General features: G+C 41.3%; 2 long non-coding RNA genes across 2 annotated transcripts in view, besides 1 other annotated feature; one reads left to right on the forward strand and one right to left on the reverse strand.

Annotated features, from left to right (window-relative positions):
• The window catches only part of LINC02413 (long intergenic non-protein coding RNA 2413), a 28,863-nt gene that overhangs the window by 10,608 nt on the left and 4,496 nt on the right, over window positions 1-13,759 (forward strand). Inside the window, exons 2-3 of the long non-coding RNA XR_945212.3 lie at window positions 2,385-2,621; window positions 4,742-4,877. This is a non-coding gene — a long non-coding RNA (long intergenic non-protein coding RNA 2413). The remainder of the gene's footprint in view (window positions 1-2,384; window positions 2,622-4,741; window positions 4,878-13,759) is intronic.
• LOC643339 (uncharacterized) overlaps window positions 2,406-13,759 on the reverse strand; it is a 373,979-nt gene continuing 362,625 nt past the window's right edge. Inside the window, exons 4-5 of the long non-coding RNA NR_040096.1 lie at window positions 3,162-3,246; window positions 2,406-2,471 (exon numbers count right to left, since the gene is read on the reverse strand). This is a non-coding gene — a long non-coding RNA (uncharacterized LOC643339). The remainder of the gene's footprint in view (window positions 2,472-3,161; window positions 3,247-13,759) is intronic.
• Window positions 6,615-6,924: an enhancer, noted in NCBI's record as "active region_6760". NCBI's record gives its function as "activates an Ori minimal core promoter by ATAC-STARR-seq in GM12878 lymphoblastoid cells {active_cell/tissue: GM12878}" and the evidence as "EXISTENCE:reporter gene assay evidence [ECO:0000049][PMID:35858748]".

The following is a 13,759-nucleotide window of genomic DNA, read 5'->3' on the forward strand; positions in this document are numbered from 1 at the left end:
GTCCATCTCTGTTTTGCAAATGACAGAATTTCTTTCTTTTTCAAGGCTGTCACTGTACCTTTAAAATGCCATGATCTGTTAACCAGTCTTGTCTTCCTCAGCATCTTGTCTTTCTTCAGCACTACATCATCTCCTCAATATTTTTCCATCCAATATTGGCCAAAATATTATAAGCAATTTTATCAAATGCTTGCTGAAATCCAATATGTGATGGTGGTGACTTCCTCCGGCATGTAATCTACTAATCCTATCAAAAAAGGAATGTTTAGCTTGGCACGCTTGGTCTCAGTGAATCCGAAGTAGTTACCACTGTTTACCTCTCCTTTCTTTAAATGCTTGCATGTCAAATATTGTTCCATTCTCTGGAATGACTTTTACCTGTGAATGGAATCTTGAATGTCATTCTACAGTAAAATTCTCAACCAAAAAAAAAAAACAAAAAAAGCCACTGATTTCTAGTCATCAATCTATAAACACTAAAGACATTTTACTAGTTCACATAGCAAAAAAATTCTGAGGTAGGGTGGTTTCAGGTTGGTTGATTCAGCGTCTCAATAATATTATCAAAGACTCAGATTCTGGCCAGGCACAATGGCTCATGCCTATAATCCCAGAGCTTTGGGAGGCCTAGGTGGATAGATCATTTGAGCCCAGGAAGTTGAGACCAGCCTGGGCAACATAGTGAAACCCTGTCTGTATAAAAAATACAAAAATTAGCCGGGCATGGTGGCATGAGCCTGTAGTCCCAGCTATTCAGGAGGCCAAGGTGGGAGGATCACTTGGGCCTGGCAGGCAGAGGTTGCAATGAGTGGAGATTGTGGCACTGTACTCCAGCCTGGGTGACAGAGGGAGACCCTGTCTCAAAAAAAAAAAAAAAAAGACCCATATTTTTTCCATATCTGTGCTCTGCCACCATCATTATGATGGCCTTATCTTTGGCTGGTTCTCTTCATGGAGGCAAGGGAGCTATGGCAGCTATGACCTGCTTTTCTACAGGTCTTCTTTTAGGAGCAAGAAAAGCATCTAGGAGCTCCCCTTGCCTGACCTGCCACGGTTTTATTTCACAGAACTGGGTCACTTTCCCCCTCCAAACCAGTCACTGGCAAGCTGAGACAGATCAGAATTTAATCCCGAGACATACAGGGAAGAGATGGGTAAACCCTTGAAATTGGCTGTTTACCAACAAGAGAAAGTCGACAAATGCTCTGGGCTAGGAAACCCTACTGTCTGGTCCAGACTGGAGGAATTACTGTCTAATTTGGAGAGTGGTCATATTTGAAGACGGTTACTGATGAAGACCTATTAAAATAACATGGACTTTTTATCTATTCAAAACAGCTTAAAACAGGACTGTGTCCAGAACAAAGGGGTAGATTAAGTTATCTCTAAAATTCCCGGCCAACTGTTTAATGCTGTGATTCTGTTCTCATTGTTTTCACTGTGGAAACTGCTTGCAATTTGGAAGAGTGCGTGTCAGCAATGTTTGTGCTGCCAGCAAAAGTGAATAGTTGCTGATCTGTGTGCATTTCCCCAAATAGCACATTTGTGGAAAACTGAGTCATGGGGATTCTAGGTACTGTGAATCCATCATCTGCACAATTTTCTGAATGCCTTACATCTTAGACACTGGCGGCTTCCCTGTAAATAAACAAATTGTAATGAGACAGTTGACACATAACATGGGATTGGCCAAAGCAAAGCAGGTTTAGCTAACTGGTTTTCCTCTGGCAAATTGTTCCTTTTTTTTTTTTTTTTTTTTTTTTTTTTGAGACAGAATCTTGCTCTGTCACCCAGGCTAGAGTGCAGCGGCATGATCTTGGCTCACTGCAACCTCCGCCTCCTGGGTTCAAGCGATTCTTCTGCCTCAGTCTCCCAAGTAGCTGGGACTACAGGCGCGTGCCACTGTGCCTGGCTAACTTTTGTATTTGTAGTAGAGACAGGGTTTCACCATGTTAGCCAGGCTGGTCTTGAACTCCTGACCTTGTGATCCACCCTCCTCAGCCTCCCAAAGTGCTGGGATTACAGATATGAGCCACCTTGGCCGGCCATTGTTCCTTTTTATTTATTTTGCCCTGAAAGCAGATGATGGTGTTAAATAAAGCAACAAATTAAATGTGGATGTTAGTGCTGCAATGGAGGAAAACTTGCAGAAAAATTGACCTGACTTATTTAATCAAGTGCAGAGACATTACTGTGCTACCTGGGGAGCTATTCAAATACAATACAATCTATATGCCTTCCACCTGAGCAACCAAGTTCTTACAGCGCTAACTAGAGAAGGTGCAGGGGAGGGGGGGAGGACTGGATAAAGTTATTTTTGTGGCAGTTAAGCTTCGATTACTTGTAGATCCATAAATCATCAGCCAAGGTTCTCTTTTCTCCAGCAGTGAGCACAGGGAGGAGGAGGTGCATGCAAGCGATACTGCAGGGCCAGAATCAGAATCATCAGCACGTAGCAACTGATTGGATTTCTGGAGCAAGAAAGAAGAGTTGAAGATAATGTTGAACTTTCTCATTGGGAGATTTTACTAACATTATTGAGCAATTACTGCATGATGGATGTTACGCTAAGAGCATTCTACAATTATTATACCTCTTACGTCTCCCAGTAGTTCTGTTAAGTAAGTACTATTGTTTTTGTTTTAGAGACAGAGTCGGCTCTGCCACTCAGGCTGTAGTCCAGTGGTGCAATCTCAGCTTACCATAGCCTCGGGCTCAAGCGATCCTCCCACCTCAGCTCCCCAAGTAGCTGTGGTCCCAGCTGGCTCCATATGAAAAGCCTCTTGCTTCCTTAATTACTAACCAATGGTAATAGTTTTTTTCTTTTTTGTTTTTTTCAAGAGACAAGGTCTTGCTCTGTCACCCAGGCTGGAGTGCAGTGGTGGTAACATAGCTCACTGCAGCCTTGAACTCCTGGGCTCAAGGGATCCTCCCACCTCCGCCTCCTGAGTAGCTGGGACTACAGGCATATGCCACCATGCCCAGCTAATTTTCAAATATTTTGTAGAGACCAGGGTCTTGCTAATTGCCCAGGCTGGTCTTGAACTCTTACCTCAAGCAATACTCCTGCCTCAGCCTCCCAAAGTGCTAGTACTTCAGGTGTGAGCCACCACCCCCGGTGACCAACAGTAATTCTACACTTCAATCTCTTGCATCCTTACCCTTATCTTGTGTCCTTATGATCATCATAAATAGCTCATTTGGCCGGGCACAGTGGCTCATCCTGGGCAGCACATGAAACCTCATCTGTACAAAAAAATATAAAAATTAGCCAGGTGTGGTGGCACATGACTGTGGGCCCAGCTACTTGGGAGGCTGAGGCAGGAGAATTGCTTGAGGCTGGGAGGTCAAGGCTGCAGTGAGCCGAGATCATGCTTCTGTACTCCAGCCTGGGTGAGAGAGCGAGACCCTGTCTCCAAAATAAAATAAAATAAAATAAAAGCTAATTTGTCTCAGGCTTTGAATTAATCTGCATTAGCTCATGTAATTGTTGCAATAACTCTATGTGGTAGGTACTCTCAGCCCTGTTATACAATGGGTTTGAAATGACTACTGATATACAGAGGTTTGAAATGATGTTACTTGCCCAAGTCTCATGGTGAATGGAGGAGCAAGGAATGGAACTCAGCTCATTTAACACCAAAGGTCTGACCACCACACAGCACTGCCCTCTTTAGCCAAACTAATGTTTTTGTCTTTCTTACTTTTGACCCATTTTATTCCACCTTTCTGAGGTATTTTCAGCATTTTCATTAAGCTAATGAATACAACAATTATTTAAGCAGCTAATCCTTAAATATGCTTCTATAAAATGTCCTTTTAGTTTCATTTTCTCCTTATCACTCCCCAAACCCACCAGACCTACACTTCATATTTTCCCAAACGTGTATACACAAGGCATTCACCTGCTTTTATATGATGTCCTTTCCTGTTCATCTCAACCTGGTAAGGTTAAGAAGGAAAATGATTTTACATATCAGAGGGGAGAGTGCTACAAAAGAATATGAGACACAGACAATTTTGTAAAAAAAAAAAAAAACAACTTTGTATGAGATACCTTATGTACATACACAGAACAGTTAAATCCTGGGCAACATGAAAAAACCTCGTCTCTACAAAAAAATACAAAAATTAGCTGGGCATGGTGGCACAGGCCTGTAGTCCCAGCTACTTGGGAGGCTGAGGCGGGAGGATTGATTGAGTCCTGGAGGTCGAGGCTGCAGTGAGCCATGATTGACAGAGTGAGACCCTGTATCAGAATAAATAAATAAATAAATAAATAAGAATATAATAAGCCAAAAGTGAAGTACAGTGAATGACTAAGTGTTCTAAAGAAAAATAAAAGCAACAGTCCATGGAAGAGGTAGACCTTAAGGATGAGTGGGATTTGATGGGAAAAGGGTGGAAGCTAGAGTGAAGACAGAAATCAACATCTCATTACTGACAGCTATTTATCAAGCACCTCCATGTGTTTGGCCATTAAATTAAAGTTTTGAGGATAGAGATGGAAAAGCTGCTTGCTGTCTTTCTCCCAAATACTCTGTGTTTGGGAAAGGCTTAAACAGATAGCAAAATACACAGTGACACAAAGAGGCACACAATACACCGAGCAAGAGTTTCAGGCATTCTGAAAATGCAGGGGACATATCCCAGTAAGAATGGTAAGCCCTGGGACAGAGGGTGAGCGGTTTACATGGATCAAAGGGCTCGCTCATGATAACAACAGCCTTCTCTAAGCCAGGCACTGAATACTGTGGATACAAAGAGCCCAGAGTCATCAAGAGGAACCAGGAACTCTAACATGATGTGTGGAGCAGGCTATGCAAAGAGGGGTACCTCTCCCAGTCAGAGGCATCAGAGAAGGCTTCCTGGTGGAGGTGAGTAGGAATCACGTGCAATCGTGCAGGCGAGGCGGGGAGAGGACACTTCTGAGCAAAGAAACTGGTTAGAAAATGTACTGGTGTGTAGGGAGAAAGAGGGCCTCCAGGTCACTCAGGGTTGCTATGAGAGCACGAAGTTTAAGGCCAGGAGCAGTGAGATGACATGGAAGAGAGAGGTGGTGACTGGCTGCCTTAGGGAGCCTGGGCTTGATATTGAGCCAGGAAAATGTTTTAAGCATCCTTTAGGTTAGGGAGCTGTATGAATTAGATTCAGGTTGAGCCAAGGTTTTAGCAAGCTTCAAATGCCAAACTGAGCAAATCTTCCCTCACTGTGAGTTTGCTGTGATCACTGTTCTTATGGTTCAGAGAATAACTGTGCTGTAGATATTAGGCTCAATTCAAAGTGGAGCTGCTGAAAAATTTATTAGTGCTGGAGTGCATAGGATGCTGTTCATGCATGACTAGCATTTCAAAGGGCTGTAGATTAAAAGTGAGAGGTCTCTGAAGTCCAATTTCAAAACCCAGAGCCTCTCCGCCACTTATCTCCTACTTCGCACCAATCCTGGAATGAGTCTATAGACCACTGTAACTTCTCCTTCTCAACTTCCACATCTTTTCTTCTCTTTCTATTAGCAACCTTTATATTCCCTTTGGGTGTTTTCTTTTTCTTTCTTTTACCACTTATGATGCCCACATGGTCATACTATGGGAAATGCAGAGCTGAATCCCATTAGAGTCCATTGAGAGCCTGCTGTGCTCCAGGCATTGTTTGGGGCATTTTAAAACATTATCTCATTTAATTATCCTAGCAACAGTAAAAGGCGGGTGTCATTTTACATGAAGAATTCGTGGCACAGACAGGATAAATTACTTGCCCAAATTCACACAACTAGTAATGGACAGAGGTTTTTCACATAAGCTTTTTGGATGTGAATTGGAACACACTCGTCTCTGTGAATTCCCAAAGCTCTTGGGATAACAATACAAAACTTTGTCATGACCTACAAGGGTTTGGATGGCGATTTCTCCGCTCTCTCACCCTACAACCAAACCCAGACAATTGGCATCCAGGGCCCAAGGTCCTGGCCACTCTGGCATACTGTCTCTGGGTTTCGAAACAGTTCATTTAGGATCCTTTATATACAACGAGTTACAAATCATATTCTGTGAGTTTCTGATCTAAGTTAACAGTTCTTTCTTACCAAGGAGACGATGAACACACACACAGACAAGAAAGAGCTGCAGGGAAGTAACAATAACCTCCAACAGGTTCTTAGTTGGAACGGACCCATCACAACAGACAAACAGGAGAAAAACAGAAGTTTATTAATATGGATATTTTATACACGCATGGGGGACATCCAGAGAATGAGTTTTCAAAGAGGTGGCTTTAAGTTCCAGTTTATATATAGCATCTTCAACAAAGAACAATAGATTTTTAGACAAGTGGCAAGACAACAAGAAAGGACTTTTTGAGTTTCTGTGAGCAGGCTGGCAACTCAAGGAAAAGCAAACAAACAGCAGATAAACGCTAGTTAGGAAAGCCTGCCAATGCAAATTCCTCTGGTTCCGACTCTAGGCTGATGAGGGTCTAAAGCTGTCTTCAGTGGTTAAACTTTTCTTGAGGGAAAAGGCGGGGGTTGGTGGCCAGGATATTTTTTGCCTTTGTAAATCTATGTCCTCCTTTTGGACAAATTGAGGCAGAGACCTCTCCTGTACCTGTTTCTTCTTGAGCATCTTCAGCTCAACAATCCTTCATATTTTGGGGAAGATATTCTGGTCTCCCACAGAGCCTTTCAAAGAAGGTTCAGCTCTGGTCTGGGTTCCTCGTCTCTCACTATTATCTGAGTTTGTGTCTCCCACCCTCCTCTGAGTCCATACTGGTCTGTGGAAGAAGGCTGCTTCCCTGAATAAAGGCCCTAATGTTCTATTTGCACAAAGCTCAGTCTTTCTCTATGCTGAACTTGGCTTTATTACTAAGTGGCTGTGAGATTTTCATGTTGTCAACTCTCCTATCTCAGTTTCAGTTTCCTCATCTGTGCAAAATCAGTCATCCCCAAAGTGTTGCCCAGATCAAAAATTTTAGAATTCTATGAAGAGCTTTACCCACTAGTAGAAGAGAGAATTAATACATTCATCAACGAGGACCCCATTTGCACTATTGTCCAGTATAATTATTTAAACTTTCTATCTTTGTGGCATTTATGATTACTTATTGTAAATGAAACTGGTGTGAAGGACACACATTTTTAATGCCTTTAATTGTCATCCAAAGGCGCTTTCCAGCTGAAAAATTCCATGATTCTAAATGTGTATCATCAATTTCATGTCAGGCAGGATCAGAGGCTTGGTCAATATTATTTTTTCCACAGTGAAATTGTGTAAGGCAGGAGATCCTACTTAAGCTAACATATGTGTATCCTTCACAATGGAAGAATAAATAAAAGTATAAGTTGTGGATTTGCTAATAGTTTCTTCCTGCTAAAAATATTAACCTCTTCTATTCCTTAACAATAACTTAACACATGTAGTTTTAGCTTAAAATTTTGGGGAACTTTTGGTGTCTTGAAGTATTTTCTGCAAATTTATTTCTCATCTCCAAATTCTATGTCCCTTTTCTGAATGTTCTTGATGCTACATTTTCATGTATTCATCAACTTGAGATGTTTGGCTCCTTTTTTTTGTTTGTTTGTTTTTGAGACAAGGTCTCACTCTGTCACCCAGGCTGGAATGCAGTGGCATGATCATAGCTCACCACAGCCTCGACTTCCCTACCTTAGGTGATCCTCCCACCTCAGCCTCCTAAGTAGCTGGAACTACAGGCACGGGCCACAATGCCCAGCTAATTTTTGTATTTTTTGTACAGGCGGTGTTTTGGCATGTTGCCCAGGCTGGTCTTGAACTCCTGGGCTCAAGTGATCCTCCTGCCTCGGCCTCCCAAAGAGCTGGGATTACAGGCGTGAGCGACCACACGTGACCTTTTCTACTGTTCTCTGAGCTCCCCAACATTTTCATATTTGCCAAATCACTGTTATGTACAGAGAAATCTCCATCAACTATTTCATTATTTGAAAGAAGCGACGCCAATAAAGAATTTACTCTCTGTTTACTTGGACATAAAGAGCTACTCCAAATTAAGACCTGACATTTTCTCATCTCCTTCTTTGCAATAAAAATAAAATTGAAATTAAACTGGGATAAGTGCAACACATTGTATCTAAGCAGCCATTGTCAAACTGTTTCTAAATATCAACAGTAAAAGCTCTAATCTGAGTCAATTTTGGAATGCACATATATTCCAAAGGGAAATGAATTTTCAAAATGGTATAGGACTCAACATCGCATATTTTAGTCTTCAGGCCAAGCAGGAAAATACTAACAAGCTACTTCTTCCAATTTTGCTATTAATGCAAATTGATGTAAAACTACCTGCTATGGGCGAAACACTCAGCCTCTGCAAATGGTCTCATTCTGAAACTGTCAGTGTCAGAGAAATGGTGTTTCCCTTCCGCAGCTCATTGAAATGGAGATGGCATGGAATGGAGTAAAGGGATGGGGATCTGCTTTCTAATCAGGCAAAATTAGATTCATTTGAATTGGTGCATGGACTGAAATGAAGGGAAAATCCAACCAGTGCCTATTTTTACCTCCTTAGACAGCCTTTGAGCAGCTAGGCATAGTAAAACCATACATGCTAAAATTTCCCACATTGATACAGAATTCATGAGGAAATTATTTTCACACTTTAATGGAATGGGTCTATTGCTTACATTATACAATGTAAGGGAAAAAATTACTAAACTCAGAAGCACATTTCCATATTTCTCATCAACTTAGTTTCTTTGATACAAACATAAGAAGCTACCCCAACTATTACAGAGCACATTTTGCAAATTTCACTAATGCATCGTACTCATGTGACATCAAAAGCAAAAATATCAAAGCAAACACACAGACAACAAATGAAAGCAAACCTTTATAGTGTATCATTCAGTGAAAAATACATGTTCTAAAGAGTTGTGATATATGATACTACGGAACTATAATATATTCCAGTTTCTACAATTTCAGTTCTTTTCAGATTTGGTGTTTATAAAATAACCTAGTAAAGAAGTGGTAGGAGAAAGTGAAATTTTACACAGTGGATTATGTGAAACACAAACTAATGAAACCAGCCAAAGTTTCTGAGTTCTTTTTTTTTCCCAGCCTTCCCCCAGCCAAATGAGTTTTTAATTCATATAGGATTTTTAAAAATCATTTATTTAATTCTCCTATATTTTAGAATAATAGCGTTCCTAGGTTAGTAGTTTTCAGACTTTAAGTTTTCAGGACAGCAAAATTTCCCAAGGCAGTAGAAAGAGCTAACATAGAGTTGCCAAACTGTTAATTTTGCCAATAACAACAATAACAAAAAGCTACCATTGCCATCATTTCAGACAGGAAAGGATATTTCCACACCAAAAATGTAGGAAGTTCATAATGTCAGAATACAAAAGAGCTCTTCCCAAGAAATACAATTTGTTAACCGTAGATAATTTTAAAGGATATACTTATAGTTTTATATACATTTAGAAACATTTATAACATTAAAATTTATTTTATACTACAACAAATATTATGTTCCCTTGGTACAATTTTTTTTTAATTTGATAGCACTATATGTATTTCATACTCTGGTATTTGATAGCACCCATGATGAAGGGCTCTAAGGTGTCATTTGTTTTGGTGTTATATTTTTATCAGTGCCATCATGAAAAATTCTGTTTTACAGATATGAGCAAAAATAAAAACAATAGTCTTAATAGTGTTTTGTTTTTTGTTTTTGAGATGGAGTTTCACTCTTGTTGCCCAGTCTGGAGTGATGGTACGATTTGGACTCACTGCAAACTCTGCCTCCTGGGTTCAAGCGATTCTCCTGCCTCAGCCTCCAGAGTAGGTGGATTACAGGTGCCCGCCACCATGCCCAGCTAATTTTTTGTATTTTTAGTAGAGGCGGGGTTCCGCTATGTTGGTCAGGCTGGTGTCAACCTCTTTAGCTTGGGTGACTCATCCACCTCGGCCTCCCAAATATGCTGGGATTACAAGCATGAGCCACCATGCCCGGCCTAATGCCGTTTCAATTATTCTGACATAGTCTAGGCAAATCAATATGCTCAGGAACAGTAGCTCCCACATTCTCAAGTCCTTCCTTTTACCTTGCTTACAATGGGCAGGTAGAAAGGCCGGTTGAGCCAGGCCAGGTGGGTGGCTGGGACTCCGCAGGAAGTAAGCTCAGGACTCTCCTCAGTTATTGCCCCTCACTTTCAGGGCAGAACCATATGGTCTCCTTGCCTTACAGAGAGAAGCTGGGAATTTTTACAATAGGTGTTCTGTGGGCCAGTAAAAACTCTGGCCCTTCCCGGCATTTGGGAACCATTGAAATGGGTCCTTTAGTCTTTGAATTCCTGAATTTTGTGTAATCCAGAGGAGCCTGAGACTCTGCGTGGCTATGGGTTGAATCCACAGCCATCAAAAAGCACCTTCCCACTGGTAAGTTAAACACAGTACAAAAAGCACTGGTTCTAGGGACAGAAAAGTTGTGTTCAAGTCTCTATTTAACATAGACAGTTGACTCTTGAACAATGTGGAAGTTAGGGGTGTTGACCCTTCCAGGAGTTGAAAATCCAAGTATAACTTTTGACTCCCCACCAAAACTTAATTATTGATAGCCTGCTGTTAACCAGAAGCCTTACTGTTAACATAAATAGTCAATTAACACATATTTTGTATATGTATTATATATTGTATTCTTACAAATAAAGTAAGCTAGAGAAAAGAAAATGTTATTAAGAAAATCATAAGGATGAGAAAATATATTTACTACTCATTAAGTGGATAATCACAAAGGTCTCATCCTCATCATCTTCACATTGAATAGGATGAAGAAGAGGAGGAAGAGAAGGGGTTGGTCTTGCTGTTTCAGGGGCAGCAGAGGTGGAAGAAAATCTGAGTTTAAGTAGACTCACACAGTTCAAACCCATATTGTTTAAGAGTTAACTGTACTTGATTTCATAATGTTTTCTAATGTTTTTCTCATGTTCAGATGGGGGTTGTGGGGAGGAAGACCACACAGATAAAGTGCAGTCAAGAATTCTTGATAGAATTTGGGAGGCCGAGGCGGGTGGATCACGAGGTCAGGAGATTGAGACCATCCTGGCAAACACAGTGAAACACCGTCTCTACTAAAAATACAAAAAATTAGCCAGATGCAGTGGTGGGAGCCTGTAGTCCCAGCTACTCAGGAGGCTGAGACAGGGGAATGGCATGAACCTGGGAGGCGGAGGTTGCAATGAGCGGAGATCGCTCCACTGTACTCCAGCCTGGGCGACAGAGCGAGACTCCATCTCAAAAAGAAATAAAAAATAAAAAAGAATTCTTGATAGAATTCTCATCATATTCTATCAAGGTTACATAGTATCAATAGAACATCACTATTGATATCAACCTTGCTCAACTGGTTGAAATAGTGTTTGTCACATTTCTTCATTGTGAAGTTACTTTTCCCTCTTTCCACACTACTCTTCAGAAGGAAGTCACTTAAAGAATGGGAAGCTATGTTCCACCTCCTTCAGGGTACAGTACCCTCATAAATTGTTTGAAATTCATTTACATGGAAGATTTGTCTATTCTCCTCCATCTATTTATTTATTTGACAATTTATTTATATCAATATGTTGTCATTAGTTTTCATTTCAACTGTTCTAATATGTGTATAGTAATGGTCTTAATTTGCATTTCCCTTAATGGCTAGTGATATTGAACATATCTTCAAATGCTTGTTTGCCATCTTTGTATCCTCTCTGGTGAACTCTCTGGATGTCTTTTGCCAACTTTCAACTAGATTCTTTTTAATGTTGAGGTTCAGAGTTCTTTATATATTCCAGATACTAGTCCTTTGTCAGATGTGTGATTTGCAAATATTTCTCCCAGTCTTTAGCTTGTCTTTTTATCTTCAACAGGGTCTTTTGCAGAGTAAAACTTTTAAATTTTTGATAAAGTCCAATTTATTATTTTTCTAACGGTTTGTGCTTTTGGTATCACATTCAAGAACACTTTACCAAGCCCAAGGTCCCAAAGACTCTTCTATGTTATCTTCCAAAAGCTTCATAGTTTTGCATTTTACATTTACCTCTATAATTCATAATCAGTTAATTTTTGTATAAGGTATGAGATTTAGATGAAGATTTATTTTTGTCTATGAATATCTAATGAGCCAAGAATAATTTTAAGGAAGTGATATCAATGGAAATGAACTCTAAACCAGATGGGAAGAAAATGAAGATGGGGCCAGGTGTAATGGCTCATGCTTGTAATCCTAGCACTTTGGGAGGCCAAGTCGGGGGGATCCCTCAAGCCCAGAAGTTCAAGACCAACCTGGGCATCAAAGTGAGACCCCATCTATACAAAACAAAAAATTAGCCTAGTGTGATGGTGCAGAGTACTGTGGTCCCAGCTACTCTGGAGGCTGAGGTGGGAGGATCCGAGGCAGAGGCTGCAGTGAGCTGTGATCATGCCACCACATTCCAGCCTAGGCAACAGAGGGAGACCCTGCCTCCAAAAAATAAATAATAAGTAAAGATAGAAGGCTAACAGATAATTCTTAAGTGTCAGAGTCCATGCTTAAGGTAAAATAAATGTAGCTACGGGCTGGGCTTGGTGGCTCATGCCTGTAATCCCAGCACTTTGGGAGGCCAAGGTGGGTGGATCACCTGAGGTCAGGAGTTCGAGACCAGCCTGGCCAACATGGGAAAACCCCATCTCTACTGAAAATACAAAAACTAGCCAGGCATGGTGGTGCGCACCTGTAATCCCAGCTACTAAGGAGGCTGAGGCAGGAGAATCGCTTGAACCAGGGAGGCGGAGGTTGCAGTGAGCCGAGATTGCACCACTGCACTCCAGCCTGGGTGACAGAGCGAGACTCCATCTCAAAAAAAAAAAAAAAAAAAAAAGTAACTACAAAGCCAGTCAGCCAAAGACTAAGAAATAGATAGTAGTTGGAAATTTCAGAAAGAAAGCAGGTACTGGTGGTGTAAATAAAAAGCCCAGTAGTGGCCAAGGGGGTGACTGGCTGAGATGAGGTGGAGTGGGGTAAAGAAGTTAAGGAACTGAGATATCAGGGTGTAGAGAGGCAGCCTGTGAAAGCTGAGGTCAGAGAATGATGCAGGAGTGGGTGGAGAGAAAGCACATTGGTCAGGGGCTCAAGTGTTTTTGAATGAGCAGGAATGAGCGGAGGTCAAGGAGATGACTGGTCCAAGATGGGGGGAAAGGAGCAAGAGGAGACAGTGTCAGGAGGGAGGGAGAGAAATGCTTTGCAGTCAACAGTGAGGAGCCAGGGGGATGCTTTTTCTACTTCTTGGCCTTAGGGTGCAAGGGGGATGAGAAAGAAAAAACAAAACAAAACAAAAAACTATCCTGTCCTTGAAGAGGCAGTGGGGAAGGAAATGGCCTCAGAAGTCTTCCAATGTCCGTTAGAGCAAACAGGTGAAAGGAATATTTGGAGAAAATGCTGCATGAGATGATCCCAGGACAAGAGGCAGGAGGGCAGTTTCAGGAACTCAGAAATACCAGGAATAGGAAGAAGGCTTTGAGTCACACTGGAGAGCAGAGCCCAAGTGACAGAGCTGCCCTTGGTTATCATGAAATTCTGAGGGATACGTCGTTGTTAGACTGGGCCTGAAAGTCAAGAGTGGAAGTTCTAAGAGTCCTCAGAGAAAAAGAGGGTGAGCTGATGTTCAGGCCTCTAACTGAGATAATTATGTGAAAGCACTTTGCTTATTTATTTATTTGTTTATTTGTTTTGAGACAGGGTCTCGCTCTGTTGCCCAGGCTGGATTGCAGTG

This window comes from Homo sapiens, chromosome 12, assembly GCF_000001405.40.
Source record: "Homo sapiens chromosome 12, GRCh38.p14 Primary Assembly".
Taxonomy (NCBI): domain Eukaryota; kingdom Metazoa; phylum Chordata; class Mammalia; order Primates; family Hominidae; genus Homo; species Homo sapiens.